General features: G+C 48.6%; 1 long non-coding RNA gene across 1 annotated transcript in view, besides 1 other annotated feature; it reads left to right on the top strand.

Annotated features, from left to right (window-relative positions):
- The first annotated feature begins 730 nt into the window (after positions 1–730).
- LOC105373411 (uncharacterized) overlaps positions 731–17,086 on the top strand; it is a 57,557-nt gene continuing 41,201 nt past the window's right edge. Inside the window, exon 1 of the long non-coding RNA XR_001739274.1 lies at positions 731–836. This is a non-coding gene — a long non-coding RNA (uncharacterized LOC105373411). The remainder of the gene's footprint in view (positions 837–17,086) is intronic.
- Positions 13,695–15,892: an enhancer, noted in NCBI's record as "VISTA enhancer hs1527". NCBI's record gives its function as "enhancer in: neural tube[7/10] | hindbrain (rhombencephalon)[7/10] | midbrain (mesencephalon)[7/10] | forebrain[7/10]" and the evidence as "EXISTENCE:transgenic organism evidence [ECO:0001131][PMID:17130149]".

Here is a 17,086-nt window from a genome sequence, read left to right as displayed (position 1 = left end):
CCCAGCATCTAGCTGGGACAAGCACATAGAAGTTCTAGTTAAAATTCATTGAATGAATAAATGAAGTTATTTCACTCTCATCATAAATGAAAGGAAAATGTGTAAAGACATATACACAATTCATAGGTATCCATGACATCATAAGAAACAGGCCTCTTTCTCTGGAGTGAAGGCTGACATGACGTTTTGATTGACTTATTACCTTTTTAGAGTCAGGGTCTTGCTGTGTCACCAGGCTAGAGTGCAGTGGCATCATCGTAGCTCACCACAGCATTGAACTCCTGGGCTCGAGTGATCTTCCTGCTTCAGCCTCCAGAATAGTTGGGACTACAGGTATGTGCCAACACACCCAGTTAATTTTTCTACTTTTTTGTAGAGACAGTGTCTCATATGTTGTCCAGGCTGGTCTTGAACTCCTGGGCTCAAGCAATCCTCCCACCTCACAAAGCTGTAACCTCAGCCTCCCAAAGTGCTGGGATGACAGGTATGAGCCATCACACCCGGCCTCAATTGACTTATTTAATTGGCACAAATTTTTTTTACCTCTAGAAGCCTCTAAGTTGGGCTTGAGAAAGCCAGGTCTCAGCCACCGGGTTTGCTGACTACATATGCTTTGGCTAATAGGCCAAAGGTTGAGTGGGGAGAAGCACACAGCTGCTTTGAATTTGTGGTGCTCAAAAAAGCAGGGAGAGAAAAGTACAAACATTAGCTAGTCCTTGTTGATTTAGTTGGTTGGCTTTGTAAGACTGCAGGGTGTAGAAGTCAGCTTTTCTTTCTGGCTTCTGACTGACTCATTTGCCAAAGCAAGACAGAATTGCAACCTGCCAGGCACGAAGGTACTGTGTGAATTGTTGGAATGGCTGAGCTTCTATAGATTATCTTTTGCGGTTGTATTGCCCAAAGGTACTTTGCTTTTGGAAATCTCCTATCATTGCCGTTCTTAATTTTCAGTATTATCGCTGCCATTTCAAAAGGGAGGGAGAAACACATTTTCATTAGTTTGAATGTCACTCCTTGAAGTTTGTTCCTGGGGAGTGCTCCTAGGATGCCCTGAAATTTCTGATTTATCACCTAATGAAAATCAGCGTTTTCAGAGCAAGTTCATGATTGATCAAGAAGTTGAGCGTTTTCTCTGGGCAGTATGCATCACTGAAATTTACATGCAAATGAAAATCTTCATGTTTAGCCCCTCCCTTCACCTAGAAAATAACCCCACCCACAAATCCTGCTGCATCTTCCTCCATTTAAGATGGAATCAGCCCATTCTTTGCCTTCTCCAATGTTGTGAGCATTTCCTTCCACTTGCTGAGTTAATGATCTTTTGGAGAAAAATTAAGGAAATAGAGTCACTTAACTGAGGGAGAGGTGGGGGTGATGGACAAACATCGTCAAGGGGTTATCAAGGATTCCAAAAGGTATTAGGCTGCTCATGTCCTTCTCTGCACGAAACTGCTGCAGTACTCATTCCACCCCAGAAAAGCGAAGTGGCAAGGGAGTGCTCGTCAGGAGTGTTTTGAAGCAGTTTTGGCCCATGTCACTGTCCCTAATAGACTGAAAGTGAACGAAGCCAAGAGGCTCAGCTGAACCATGTCTAGGAAATTCAGACCCCAGCCTCTTTTCTGAAAGCATATGCATGAGACATTATTTGTAGAGAAAATCAAACCCTCCTGATTTCGGAACAAGTTGGTGGGAATTGTTAGGGTCAAGCTGCAGCGAGACAGTCAGTGTTCTGAGGTAGATGGAGAGCCTTAGAGCCAGTGCAACCAGGTGGTGTGGATGGTGGTGACAGTCAACTATGGGCTCTGCTTTAGGTTGAAGGCAGATGATATGAGTGAAGACTGTAGCAGAGAGGACACAGGTTGGATAAAGAGTAACTATTGTGATAATCAGAGCTTCCAAGCCTGTGGGAACAGGCTGCTGAGTTAACATCATCATCAGATATCTTCAAGAAAAGGCTTGACAGTAGACTAACATCTGTGTGCCCACTATGGGATAGATGTGTTCATTTATTCATTAAATTTGAACATCAATGCAGTGGTAACTATTAGGATAGTAGTATGGGAAACAAAGATAAAATATAAATTTGTCAGTGAGGCATGACAAATATATACATTGCAGTATAATATGGCGAGTCCTAAGATAAGAGGCAAGCTTGGGTGCCAGGAAGCCTGGGGCCCAGGCCTAACCCAACCTGGGGAGCACTGGTATGGGCGATGGGATAAGACCTCCTGGGGAAGACGAGTCTTAGGAGATGGTAGGTGTGTTGGGCAATTCATTCATTTTTTTTTTTGAGACTGGGTCTCACTCTGTTGCCCAGGCTACAGTGCAGTGGTGCAATCACAACTCACTGCAGGCTTGACCTTCTGGGCTAAAGCAATCCTCCTGCCTTAGCCTCCCCAATAGCTGGGGCTACAGGCATGTGCTGCCATGCCCATCTAATTTTTAAATTTTTTTGTAGACACAGGGTCTTGCTATGTTGCCCAGGCTTTGAGTTCCTGGGCTCAAGTGATCTGTCTGCCTTGGCCTTCCAAAATGCTGGGATAACAAGTGTGAGCCACCATGCCTGGCCATGATGGGCAATTGTGAGCCACCATGCCTGGCCATGATGGGCAATTCTAATAATAATTCTAACAGTGATGACAGGTAAGCAGATAATACTGGCCATGCCAGGGACTGTGGTAAATGCGTCAGATGGCTTCCCTTATGCACTCCTTACTCACAACAGCCTTTGGAGGTGATTGCTCTTACTTGGCAGTTTGAGCCTAGGTAGGTTGTTGAAGCAGAGAGAAAGGGCAAGGCAGGAACAGGCAGGGGGCATTGAAGAGCTGCGCCCACCTGGTCTGGCTGCTATGATGAGCATTAAGGCCAGGACCTCAGGCCAGGCCACGTCCCAAAGGACTGAGGAGTGTGGAGCTGACCCTGTGGGCAGGAGTGCTTCTGACAGGCTAAGCTCTCGAAGGGAGTGACCAGTGGTGATTTTGGAGTAGGTGGGTAACAAGGCAGGATTCATTCTGTAGCAAGACCCCTGTGTGAAGAGTACCTTGTTGGGCGGGAACAGGAGGAACAGTCAGGGAACCAGAATCAGCGTGCAGAAGTTGGGAGGGAGGACACGGCAGGGTGCTCCACTAGCCCCAACCTCGTCCTGAGGAAGACACTGAGGCTCAGCGTAGACCTCGGAAATAAGCAGGTATGTTGCAGGATTCCAGTGCAGCTTTCTGGACTCAGAGGCAAGCAGGCTTTCTACCATGCCATAGACACTGATTGTGACCTTTTGTCCTCTCTGTTTTGTGATTTTTGTCTAAATCTTTCCATCCAGCCCCTCAGGCTACAATGGGTCTCTTTCAGGGTCAGAGAAGAGAGAAACCCTTCCCTCTGAACCTTTCCTCTAAGTTCCGCTTCAGTAGGCATTTGTGGGCTTTGAATGGATAACCAGGCTCCTGGCTCATGTGGCTTAGCTGGTGGTTCTGAAAACAAATCAGCTCCCAAGTGTGGCCCGCCACGGGGTTGCTGCCGGGGTCCCTAGAGGCCTCTGGTGCACAGCAGACAGCTGCTTTCTCCCCGTCTCTCAGACACGGTCTAGGTGGCCCTCTGCTTTCTGCAACCCGGATCCTCCTTGTTGTATTTTCAGCCTGCAGAACTGAGCTGATTCACTTTTATGGAAAAACACATTTTAAATATTTAGTTGCTCATGGAGAGTTTTGTTTAAAATTACTTGAAATTGGAACTTTTCAAATTGGAGATGTTTGAAAATCTTTCTTAAATTCTGAAAATAAGTTTGCTTCTTGGCTAGGATGCAAGAGGAAGAAATTTCATCCCAGACGATCATTGTCTTGAAAAGTGAAGAAGGAGTCAGTAGCGATCGATGAGAGGGCACCTTGCTCACAGGTCAATGTTGGGCGGTTCTCCAGGAGGCCCTGGGCTCAGGGCCCGGCTGCCCTGACTGCTGGGACCTGCCCAGCGGCTACTTGGCTTGTTTTGGTCTGCGCCTTTAAAGAAAGTCCTGGGAGCACTCAAGTTGCCCCCTCCCTTTTTCTTGAAATGTACACTAATGCCATTAACTATCAGATTCATCCCCACACACCTTCCTTTGATCAGCCCATGTTATTCTGGCCAGCACCGTTTGGCCATTGTAGAGGCCTAGCACGAGCTTCTGGCAGGATGCACAGGTATCCATAGCCTGTCCTGGTCGGCGCCCAGCCCTGGCCCACACACATGGCTTGCCCTTAGGTAACAGAGACAAAGGGTGTTGAGTAGTACTCAGTGAGAAGACAAGCTTCCAGCTCCTGAACTGAAGTATTAAGTTTAAAATGTTTTCACTTTCCAAAAGGTAGAAGATATTTGTAGACAGAAGAGTTTGCTGGACACCAAGATGGGAGTGAATGAGCCTTGTGTTGAAACCACTACCTTCCTGTTGAATTTGACCCCCAGTGTTGCAGGTGGAACCTAGTGTAAGGGCTCCTGGGTCCTGGAAATGGCTCCCTCATGAATGGCTTGATGCCATCCTACAGTAATGAATGGGTTCTTGCTCTGTTAGTTCCTGCAAGAGCTGATTGTGAAGAAGAGCCTGGAACCTCCCCTCTTGCTCTGTCTGTCTCTCTCTCTTTTTTTTTCCTTAATTTTTGAGACAGGGTCTGGCTCTGTGGCCCAGACTGGAGTGCAGTGGCACAACCTTGCTCACTGCAACCTCTGTCTCCCACGCTGAAGCCATCCTCCCACCTCAGCCTCCCAAGCAGCTGGGACTACAGGTGCATGCCACCATGCCTGGCTAGTTTTTGTATTTTTTGTAGAGACTGAGTCTCACCATGTTACCCAGGCTGGTCTCGAACTCCTGGGCTCAAGCAATCCACCTGCCTCAGCCTCTTGAAGTGCTGGGATTCCAGGCGTGAGCCACTGTGCATGGCACCGTCTTGCTCTCTTGCTTCCTCCCTCACCATGCGGTCTCTGCACACACCGGCTTCCCTTCACCCTCCGCCATGAGGGGAAGCAGCCTGAGGCCCTCTGCATATGCAGATACCTCGTCTTCCAGCCTGCAGAACCCTGAACCAAATATACTGGAAAAAAAAATTATCCAGTCTCAGGTATTTCTTTATAGCAACACAAATGAACTCAGACAGTCCTCATGCTGTACCTTGGATCCCTAGACTTGTTAGTACCCTCTGACCTGCAGTTCCCCATCCCCCCTGCACTGTAACTGCCACTCTACTCTGTTTCTATGTATGTATGATCCTGCCTTTATTTAAAAATTTGGCATTTTCTTGATCATGAATTATTTTTTAAAATTTTAGATTCAGAGGGTACATGTGCAGGTTTGTTGCATGGATATATTGCATGATGCTGAGGTTCGGGCTTCTAATGATCCTGGCACCCAAGTAGTAAACATAGTAACCAACAGGTAGTTTTTCAACCCTTGTCCTCCCTCCCTCTCCTCTTTTTGTATCCCCAGGGTTTACTGTTCCCATTTTGTGTCCACGTGTACTCAGTGTTTAGCTCCCACTTGTAAGTAAGAGCATGTGGTATTTGGGTTTCTGTTCCTGTGGTAATTCGCTTAGGATAAAGGCCTCCAGCTGCACTCATGTTGCTGCAAAGGACATGATTTTATTTTTTATGGTGGCATAGTATTCCATGGTGCACACGTACCACATTTTCTTTTTCCAGTCCACCACTGATGGTCACCTGGGTTGATTCCATGTCTTTACTATTGTGAATAGTGGGCCATGGATTTTTGCATTAATTTTGATTTCTTAAATATTGCATTGAAAGATGATTTCTCTTGACCACTGAGTTTTTTGAAACCTCATAAATTCTGCATTCAAGGTCTCACTGCTCTCAAATCATCGCCCTGATCCTGGCCCTGAGGCTGCTCCACTGTGCGCTTTGATGTCAGCATCACTTAGCACAGGTTCGGTGCTGAAGTAAAGGAGAGAATCCCTCCGGGAAATGGGACCCACACGGCCCGCTCTTATTCCACCTTTCCAGGCTTTTTCTCTTTCCACACAAAGGATTCCTGTCTCTGGGTCCCTGGGTCCTGCTGCCTGTGACCCCTCTGCCCCATCTCTGTCTGGCGAGTCTCCTCCTCCAAGGGTCTATTCAAATGTGCCCTTTGCTAGTAGCCTTTCTAATTGCTCCTCTGAGGACCTCCGTGCTCCCACTGCATCTGTGTGCCCCTCTGCCCAGCCCCAGTGGCTCAGCTTGGTACCATTCCCCACGGCTCGTCTGCAGCCATTTCCTCACCAGAAGGCAAGCTCTTCAAGACCCCATGCTTTATTTATGCCATGCATGATTTTCTTAGTGTGTGGGTATGTTGGTCATGAGGGGCATCCATTGAATGATCAAAATAGTGTTATTGGATGCTTAAAAGATTTTTCTAAGTATTAATATACCATGAGTTTGAAACAAGTAACTGGCCAAAGGTGTGTCCTCTCCTCTATTCTGTGTTTCCTGGACCTTCCATGGGTCCCTTCATGGATCCCTTCCACGGGTCCACCAATTGCCAGTCTCTGGTTGGCTGCTTGTGGTGGGGCCAGGGAGGAGTGGAAAGGTTACCACTGAGACTGCAGGAAATTTGGAAAACCAAGGTCAAATAGGAAGTCTTGTGGCTGGACGGGGAGCAGGGGAAGGAGCTAGGGGATGTTCTTGGAGGGCACCTCCTCTTCCCCACCCCCTGCAGAGCTCATTCAACAAATATTGGTGACCAGCTGCTGGGGTGAACTGGATTGGAGATAAAGGAGTTGTGCTGTCACATGGGACAGGAAGGAGGAGCCGCCAAGAAAGGCTGGGACCTGAGGGAAGGAGTGCGCCGAGGGGAGTGAGTGAGGGGTGGCATCTTAAGGCACCCAGTGCCTGGATGGGGGAGATATTTTGACAGAAAGGAGGAAAGTGGTGATTATGTGACATTTCCCTAAAAAGTAGATCTTCAGAGTGATCTGTGTGTGTGTGTGTGTGTGTGTGCATGCACATATATAATATATATACACACATATTAGACATATATATTATATACACACAATATACACATTATACACATACATATACACATGCATATATAATATATACACATATATACACGTTATACATATACACATGTAATATACACATACATATATACACATGCGTATATGTAATATATACATCTATACACACAAGTTATACACATATACACACATATGTAATACACATGCTATACACATACACATATGCATATAATCACATATACGCACATACACATACATACACACATATACACACATACACATACGTACACACATATAATATATACATATATACACATACATATACACATGTTATATACACACATATACACGTTATACTCATACATATATACACATGTGCACATATACACGTACATATACACATATATAGAAATAATATACACATACACATATATACACATGCATGTATAATATACATATATATACACGTTATACACATATAGTATATAGACACATATATAATATACACATGTCATACATATAATATATACACATGTTACACACATGTAATATATACACACATATACATACACACATGCATATATAATATATACACATGTTATACATATACACATAAATATATACACATAATGTACACATGTTATACAATCATACATATATGCACATGTATATATATACACGTTATACCTACACACATATATATATACATGTTATACACATACATATATACACACATGCATATATAATATATGCACATATATATGCACATTATACCTATACACATATACACACATACGTTATACGCTCATACATACACATATATGTACACATATATAATGTATCAATGTATAATTTATGTTACATGTAAAATATATGTTATGTATAAAATAAATATATATTATGTACAAATTATAATTTATATACATATAAATATATACATTTATATATAAACATATATGTATATGTTTTCTTTAAACTCAGGTTAAAGAAATAGGAAGTTAAATGTTATGGGAAGACTATTGGTAATTCTAGCCAAAGTAACTTGCTAATATTTTTAGTTTTACTGCTCTGGAATGCTTAAGGAAGATAAATGGGTTTTATTCTGAGACTCCAGTGCACAGATTGACTATTATATGCTGGACTTCAGGGAAGCAGTGAGCAATGATTTAGGGAGGTCATAAAATGGGGAAAGCGAAAACCAAAACACAAACACTGGCAAATTGGAATCCAAGAGATGATTGGGGCCTGCCAAGGATGGTTGAGTTATCCGTTACTGTATGACAGAGCCCCCACCCCCTGCCCAAAATGTAACAGCCTGGCATAACAGCCGCTTCAGGGGTTGGTGTGTGGGTCAGCAATTCGGGACAGCCTGACCTGCTAGAGACCAAGAGGCCTCTGGGGGCCTCAAGGCTGCTGCTGGGGAGCCGGGCCATAAAGGCCATAAAGGGGGCTCTTTGTGTGGACTTTTATCATCCCGAGTCCACCCTGGGTTTCCGTACGTGGCACCTGTCTTCCAAGATGGCAAAGGTGGAGGCTGCCGTCATCCCACTGCCTCACTTTGCTCAATTGCAGCAGCTATAGCAGCCACAGGCCAGCCCAGATTCAGGGGATGTGGACCCCCCTGCGACGGGAGCAAGGGCAAAGCTATGCTTCTGACAGCTAAGCCCACAAAGGGGATCTTTGGAAAGGGGATTTCCAGAGGAAGGTGGCTGACAATTTCACCAGAGAGAATTTGGGGTCCTAAGGGGAGGTCTGAGATGAGGGTGCACATTTTGGGTTTTTCATGGGGAACAGGGGAGTTGTGGAGTTGCATGGGGCCATGTCCCCCAGCAAATGCCCCTCACATGTGCACAAGGGGTGCTGTGCACCAACTTCTACTTATAGGCCTACTGCCTCGCTGTGCAGGACATGAGTGACTGGAAGGAAGCTCATGGAAGGAAGTTCCATGGAAGGAAGGATACGTGCAGGGTAAAGGTGGAGAGACCCAGAACAGGCATCAGTGAACCTCATCCCCTGGAGGAAAATGTGTCCCCAAGAAGCTTCTAGGCCACTTAGGAGGCAGTGGCTCTGAAGTCAAGGCAGGGCCCTCACTGTGTTACAGGATCTTTTAGGGGGTTGCTTTTCTGGCCAGAAACCTCTGTGGCTGGTGGCGCCTTTGCCCAAGTTCTTGTCCTGTATCCAGGAAGAATGAGGTATGCAGACAAGTGGAGGGTGAGCAAGACAAAGAGAAGCTTTATTGAGTGTTAGAGCAGCTCTGAGGAGGCTGCAGGGGGCAGTTCCTTCTGTAGGCAGGTAGTCTTGTCCAGTGTTCAGCAAGCAGCAGAAAGGAGGCCCTGGAGAGGGTGGTTCCTCTCTGCAGGCAGGTCCCCATTGACTTTCCAGCTCTCAGCAGAGAGGGTAGATCATCTCTGCAGTTGGTCCTCCAGTGCCCAGTCATCTTTCCATCCTCTGTCCTCTACCCTGCTCTGGCTGAGCCTGGGGCTTTTATGGACCTCAGAGGGGAGGAGGTACATGCTGATTGGTTCATGCATGGCCATGGGTGGGGTCAAAAAAGGCACCACATTCCTCCACTCTGGTGCAGGGATCTGGCAGCCCTTGGCCTGAAGATGGGGTCTTTCCAGGGACCTGCCTCCTTCCACCCAGGAATCTGTCTGCTTCCTGCTGCTGTTCATGGCACCCCAGCTTGGCCCAGACTTTGCTCCAAGATCGGAGCAGGTATCAATAGCAGGGAGAAGCCAGGCAGCTGGAGCAGGCACTTCTGAGCCTGCAAGGGCAGGAGGGCCTTCCCAGGTCCCCAAGAGTGCAGAGATGCCTGAGGCTGAAGCCGCTGGTTTGGGTGGCTGCAGTGGCACCTGGGAGGGCAGGGCTCCTGCCTGTTCCTGGCCCTCCAAGACCACGGGAGGCCCAGGTCTACTGCCTGGCTTGGGCAGCTGCAGCCATGCCTGTGAGGACGGGGCTGCTGCCTGCTCCTGGCTCCTGCTGGCTCCATGGAGCATGCAGCCCCAGCTGTGCCCCCTTGCAGCATGGGCTGGGGGCTCCTGATCCTTGCTGGGCCCCAAGCCAGTGTCCGGGGCAGGGGCGACATCTCCATGAGCTCTCCCCATTGCCCTTGTGCTCCAGGATGGCCTGGGATGGAGTGGATCTCGGGCCCTGGGCTCGGCCATCAGAAGTGGCAAGCTTGGCAGCCATCTTGACTCAGGGCAGACCCCAGGGACCCGGCCCTGGATGGCCTGTGTAGAGCCTTCTTCTGAAGTGCAGGAACCTGGCACCCTAGGCGGTGTGGGCACAGTGGCTGTGCCACTGGCCAGGTCCCAAAAGTGGTTGCCACTTCCACTTCCTGTCCTGGATCCCCAAAGTGCAGCCCCAGCTCTGCACTGGGGCCCCTTTCTGCCCAGCCATGCTGCTCCCCTGCTGCACTGCTCCCCCTCCTGAACGGGATTGGGCTCGGCCCCTTGCAGCCACCCCCAGGGCAGTGGGCTGTGGGGGGCCCTGTCCACCTCCTACCTGCACCCTCCCTGCAGCAGCTGGTGTGATGGTAGTGCCACACCACATGCTTGTTGCTGCCATCAATCCCTGCTCTGAAGAGGTACATCTAATGGCCGTTAGGATAGGGACGATGACTGCTCTTAACTTAGAGGCCTATCTAGGGTCCCCAGTGTAGAGAGCCATCGTCCGCCATTTGCATGGCCATTTGGAGTTTGATGGCCCAACTGTTTCTTCTGAACTGTAGTCACAGACCACTGGTTGGTTCACCCCCACAATGGCCAAAAGCTACAAACAGCTTAAAAGAAAAGCTTCCTCGATTCTGGAAGACAAAACAAAGGATCAACCATGTCCCAAAAAGTCAAAAGAAGATGACTTCAGTCTTCCACTGGTTCAGTTCACCAGGTCAACTCCTGTTCAAAATCTTCAGTTATCAGAAACCTACACTGAGGGCTGAAGACGGTCCTTTGAAGAGTGTCAAAACTAGACAACACTTGTCTGAACGTCAAAATGTCCTAGGCTAGTCACAGTCAAAAACACAATGGATAAAGAACTGGTTGCCTCTGTAGTCTCCAAGAACCTAACAGTAACCTTAATTATGATTGAGAACACACACTCCGACAGCAGGATTTGAGGAGGCCCCTACCATTTTGGAGCACATATTAACATGACTCACTAAAATATAAATACCTTATTTTGACAGTTGGGGGGTTGTGTTTTTTTCTTTTAAAATTAGTATGTGGCCTGAACAGGGAGGAACGTGGGCGCTTTTGAAGGGCTGCGCCGGGAGGAACCAACAGCCTTTACTGGGGCTGAGGCGCAGGGGCAGCGCTTTCCGGGGCCGTGACTCCACTGGGGCCTCGTAGGCGCTCCGGGCACACGGACAGATCCCGGGGAAGGGGCCAAGGGCAGAGCAGGGCGCATGTCAGAGCCCCGGCCACCGTCTCGGCAGCTGCCCTCTCGGAGGCCATGGCCGTGGCCCTGCTGTCGGCTCCAGGCTGAGGCCAGGACGTCGCCGTGCCCGGGGGTGCGGAGCCTGGCATGGATCGCAGTTTGGGAACAGGCACATGGCCCACGGGGCTCCTCTGGGTTCCTCCCCAGGCGGGCGGGCGGGCCGCGGGCAGCCCCCAGGAGTCACCCGTGGCCTGGGCTGGCCTGGGGGTCGTGGTGACTCGGTAGCCTCGCCCCAGCGGTGCGGTCCGGGAACAGGAGCCCGCGTGGCTTCTCGGCGCCTCCGCCCCAGTCGCACTTTGTAGTAGCCCCACCTGAGGCTCCCATGCCCTGGCACCGAGGGGCAGCCGCCCCACCCTGCTGACTTCCCGCGCCGTGCTCACAGGGCCTCGGACAGAGGGCGGAGCCTCGGTGCTTGTCGGAGGGGCTGGGGGTCAGAGGGCACAGCGATGGGGCAGAAAGCCAGGTCGGGGCTGAGCAGTGAAGCTGAAGAAGGAGCGCGATGGGAAACTTGAGGAGTCAGGATGCGATTCTAGACCTACAGCTGCTCCTTCTGCTCCTTCTCGTGGGACGAGATGGGGGCAGCAGCCGGGGTGACTTTCCCTGCCCTCCTCACTCGGCTTGAGGAGGAATGACGCGGCCACCAGGGAGCGTGGGGCGGAGGGGGCCCCCTGGTGTTCACGGGGCCCAGGGCACCGGGCCAGTGAGGTCCCTGGTGTGTCCCATCGTCCCCTGCCCGCCTCTGGGGCTGGTTTTTCTGCCATGGCTAAGGTCCTGCAAGCGGCCTGCGGGTTCTCAGCTCTCAAACCCAAGCTCCTGCCCCACCCTCCTCCAAGAGCTGGTTCTTGGAGTGCAGCCTTGGAGTGCGGCCCGCCCTGGGAGGACGCTTCCAGGAAGGAACCTGCCCAGGCCTTGGCAATGGGGCCAGGCCCTTTGGGCAGAGATTTCTGGGCTCCGAGGTGCCTAGGGCATGGTGTAGAAGTTGGGGCACGGGCTTCCTGTGGGCCGACCCTGCAGATCCTGCCTGGCTTTGCTAGGACTACCCACTTTACAAAGCACCACAAACCGCCAGGCTTGAGCAACAGGAAGCCCTTGCCTCATAGTTCTGGAGGCTGCAGGTCTGGCAGGATTGGCTTTTCAGAGCACCTCTGTCCTTGGCTTGGAGGTGGCCATCTTCTCCCTGTGTCTCTTCACATTGTCTTCCTTTTATGTGTCTGTGTCCTACTTTCCTTTTTCTGTAAGGCCACCAGTCATATTAGGTAGGGCCCACCCTAATGACCTCACTTTAACTTGATTATCTTTGTGAAAACCTGATCCCCAAATAAGGTCATACTGTGAGATTCTGGGGGTCAGGACTTCAGCATATGGATTTTGGGGGAAAACAATTCAATCCATAACTGATTCAGTCCGTAGCCAGGTTGGGAAGGGCTCAGCCAGATGTGGGCTGAAGCTAAGCCCTCAAAAGCTCAGGGCCCAGGACAGGGTCCTTTTCCTAAGGACCCTAGAGGCGACGGGCAGTGGGGAGGGATGAGATGTGATGGGAGATGAGCCCAGAGTGGTGGGGGCCCTGATGAAGGGGTTGGCACATGGGTGGTGGTACAGCAGGAAGTCTCTGAAGGGCTTTGGGAACGGACAGTACAGTGACCAGATCTGCACCCCAGAACCCTGACTCTTGGTCCAGGCTGCACCCCAGACTGGGGTGGGACCCCATCAGTATTGGATGTGTAGGCATGTCTGTGAAGCGCTGCTTTAGAAGCCTAGCTGAGCATGTGATGGTTAAGTTCATGAGTCAACTTGACTGGGCTAAAGGACACCCAGAGAGCTGGCAAGACGTTATTTCTGGGAGTGACCCCAACAGGCAGAGTACTCCTTTTAAAGACAACTGAAAGGAAAATATCCACCAGCGAGGCATTTCCTAGTCCTGTGACCAGGAAGTGATCAAAATGGCTCAGTTTTGACCTTCAAGCTTTAGCAAGGTGGTCAAGGCCAGGTGGTATGGGAATGGACGCTGGAAAAGCCCAGGTCAAGCTGGCCTGTCTCTCTGTTCCCTGCAGTGGAAGCAGGGCCTCCTGGACACCTGAATGAAAGAGACGCTCTGTGTATCCCTGTTATCAGGCAAAAATGCATCTCATATGTAATCAGGAACATTTTATCCAAATCCTTGCTCAGATGTGGACACAGGGGAAGAAAGCAAAACAAGTCCGGGCACCCAGAGCCCATATGGGCCACAGACACACCCTGTGAGCACTTATCGGGGGGGCTAATAACACCCCCCCAACACCATGTGACCCCTCTCCAGGATAGCACACAACTGTTTGCAGTGCAATGAATGTGACATTTATTCTCAGCTATGTGCAGAGTCAAGTGAGGTTATAGCAAATAAAATACAGAAATATTCATTTTCCTTCTAAAAAGGGCTCTTAAATGTCAAATCAAATGAAATGGAATCATTGTATCGGGGCAGAACACATATAGCTTGCAGATTGTGCAAACTATATGTTCCCCCAACCTCGCTGCTCCCTGTAGAAGCATTTTATTGACCTAGGCCAGTTAAATAAAGTTCATATACACTTATTAGTTAAGCAAATGTCATTTGCTAGAGTCTGACCAAAATTCATTAGCTAACTTCTCCTCACTTTCAGCTCCTCCCACCCCAGAAACCTCACACTTTTTGTCTGGTTTTCTTTGCCGGACTAATTATAAGGTTTTCTGACAGCAAGTATACATGAACTAGTTGAGCTCTGTAGTCCACCTTTAACACCTGAAAATGATCCCACTAAAATTCCTGGCATGCGGCATCCAGACGTCAGCATTTCTGGGCCCCGAGGCTTTGGGAGCACGCAGGCTGTGGGAAAAGCAGGAGGGAAGCCTGGGGCTGCTAGGCTAATGCCCAGGAGTGGCTGGACCAAGCTGAGTGGCAGCCTGCCCTATCCTGAGAGAGCCAGTGCAGGAGACTCAACCGAGCAATAAACATGCCCAGCTCCAAAAGGCAGGCCTCTGTGCACAGATGTTGTGATGTTATGAGATAATTTTCAGGCCTCAATGGGGTGAAAGGGTGGATTTGTCAAGAGAGGGGCATACCTATGGCGGTCTTTTCACTGAGCAACACCATGATTTCATTACCATGTCAATTCTGGGAGAAGGCCCTGATTTAACACAGCAGTTGGCTGAATGCATATGGAGCGGGTGGACCTCTGAATGAATAGTGAATGGAAAACCGGCTGGAATCTGCCTTCAGCTTTGTTTCAGGATGACCAATGTAAGGGACCCCAGAGCTTGCAGCACAGATGGTAGGAGGGGACCGGGACTCCGCTGGGCTTCTCTTCTTCTCCTTTTTATTCTATCACTTGCGGGGGTTCCTCTGTATTTGTGTACATATTTCAGTTGCCTAACTAAATTTGCTGCAATTTCTCATTCTACTAAAGCAAAATTAGCTTTGAGGGGAATTAGAGATGAAACACAATAACATATGTAGCAATAAACATTAAAATTTTGTGCTGTTAAAAATTGGAGTTTCAAAGACTCAGTGTTGTGAGGTTTAGAAGTAATTGAAAATGTAATTAAGAAATCATGAAAAAGACAATTAAAAGTTTGAAAGACAAGTTCAGAATTACTTCTGAAGTTCTCCAGTGTGAAGGGAATGTGCAGATTCTCACGTCGGTGCCTGCGTACATCCAGAAAAGAAAGGTTAGGTGCTTTCAGAGAGCAGGGTGGCGTCCGAAGGGCAAGTACTGTAAATCAAAGGACTCTCTGGCATTATCTAGCTTCCTTTCTGCTTTAAAAGTTAGAACAGATGTCACAAGAGAGGACAAAATGGATTTTACCCACCAAGAGAGGCTTTTCTTGCCATCCTTAATAGGAAGCGCCTTGAAATGTTAATGTACACAGTTTGTGTTGCCGGGGTTTGCATAGAGATGGTGGGAAACAGCTCTGATCCCAACAAAACCTTTTGTTATTAATCAAGAAAATCTGGTCCGCTGAAGCAGCAAAGAGCTGAAAATTAGCCCACTGGCAATGAGGCCAGTGAGCAAAAATGCGGCCGAGGATTCCGACGCGCCCGGAAGACCTGGTGGTGGGGCCATGCTAGATCCCATGTGTCTCCCTACGCTCTGCGGTCTCCCGGCCTCCATATTTAAGGGGGAAGGAATATTTCTCTTGTGTCTTGAGCTTTAGAATCGTGTGTTTTCTTTTTCAGCAATTTCAAGAAGCAGGCTGGAGAACATCCATTAAAAGCGCGCTAATGAAGTGGTGCTAAGAAAAGAAAGCTAAACACCACAAAATCAAAGTGGAGCATTTTGCCTGGCTAATGGGCTTGATTATGAGATTTTACAGGCTCTTTTATAAACTTGAATTTTATTTTGTGCTGGGAAACAGGAAATTTCTGTTTGGCTTTAAACATACACGATCACACCACCAAATATTCCTAATTTAAAACTGTGAGAGTAGAAAGAGATTTTTATGTCTAAGAGAGGAAGGGGCAAAAACATCCCCAGCCGTGGTCATGAATAAGCACAACCTTCAATACTCCTATTTTAGAGAAGGGGAAATGGAGGCCCCGAAATGAGGCGTGTAGCTGCAGCCACCCTAACAGCCTCCCTTTCCTCTGAGCTTCCGTGGCTCTCATGATCAACAGCTGGTTATAGGGTGTCTAACATCGTACCTGTGGTTCCCAGGTGAGCCCGCTTTGCCGGAGGGGTTCTCAACCTTGTCACCATTGACATGTTGGACCCGATAATTTTTTGTTGTGGGGGCTGTCCTCTGTCTTGTAGGATGTTTAACAGCATCCGTGGCCTTCATCCCCTGGTTGCCAGTAGCATACCCTCCCGTTGTGACTACCAAAAACATCTCCAGACATTGCCAAGTATCCCTTGCAGGCCAAAATTGCCCCTGGTTGAGAACCATTGAACCAGATCAATTACCTCCTGTAGGGTGATGGACACCACACTTTAAACATTCTAACTCCCCAGTGTCCAGCCTGGTGGCGTTGGGGCCAGAGCCATGTGGTGAACGCACGCTGGTGGAGGAGATTACTGAGAGCCTGCTGAAGGATGGGCAAGTCCACTCCAAATTCCAGATCGGTGCAGTTTCAGTCTCTTCCTCCATAACTCCAATGGTGTTGCGTATTCCCTTTTTGTCCAGCGGCCAGGCTGGGTGAGGGACAGCAGCAGAAGGAAACGAGAAGCCGAAGCAGTCCACACCTTGGAGAATCACCTCTGTCTTGGATGCTGATGCAAACAGCTGCATTCAAGGTTTGCATATGCTTAGCTGCATGGGCGGGTGACATGCTAATAGAACAGCCATGGGGCTGCCATTGGGCGCCCGTTCTAATCTCTGGCAAGACTTTTAAGTGAGGCTGTGCTACTCTTCGAATGATGCTCTATTATCCTTGTAGAAACACCGTGCTATACGGAATAGTGAATTATGGGAAAGTTGCCTGTATATAGAATGGTAAGCATTCACTTATGGAATATGTATTGAGCATATATTGTCTATATCTTTCTATTAAAAGCGAACACAGAGCAGATCTGTTATAAAGTAAAACATTTGTTTCCTGGACCATCATCTTCCTTACCATCCTGAGTGGACTTAAAATACAGTAGGTCAAACTCAAAGGCACTAAGAATTCCAGTGGTTTCTTGGAGTTCCCGTAGAAATACTGTGATCGCTTTACACATGAGTTC

The sequence above is a fragment of the Homo sapiens genome, chromosome 2, assembly GCF_000001405.40.
Source record: "Homo sapiens chromosome 2, GRCh38.p14 Primary Assembly".
NCBI lineage: Eukaryota > Metazoa > Chordata > Mammalia > Primates > Hominidae > Homo > Homo sapiens.
Note: the sequence above shows the minus strand (reverse complement) of the source record. Positions and strands in the feature narration are given on the sequence as shown.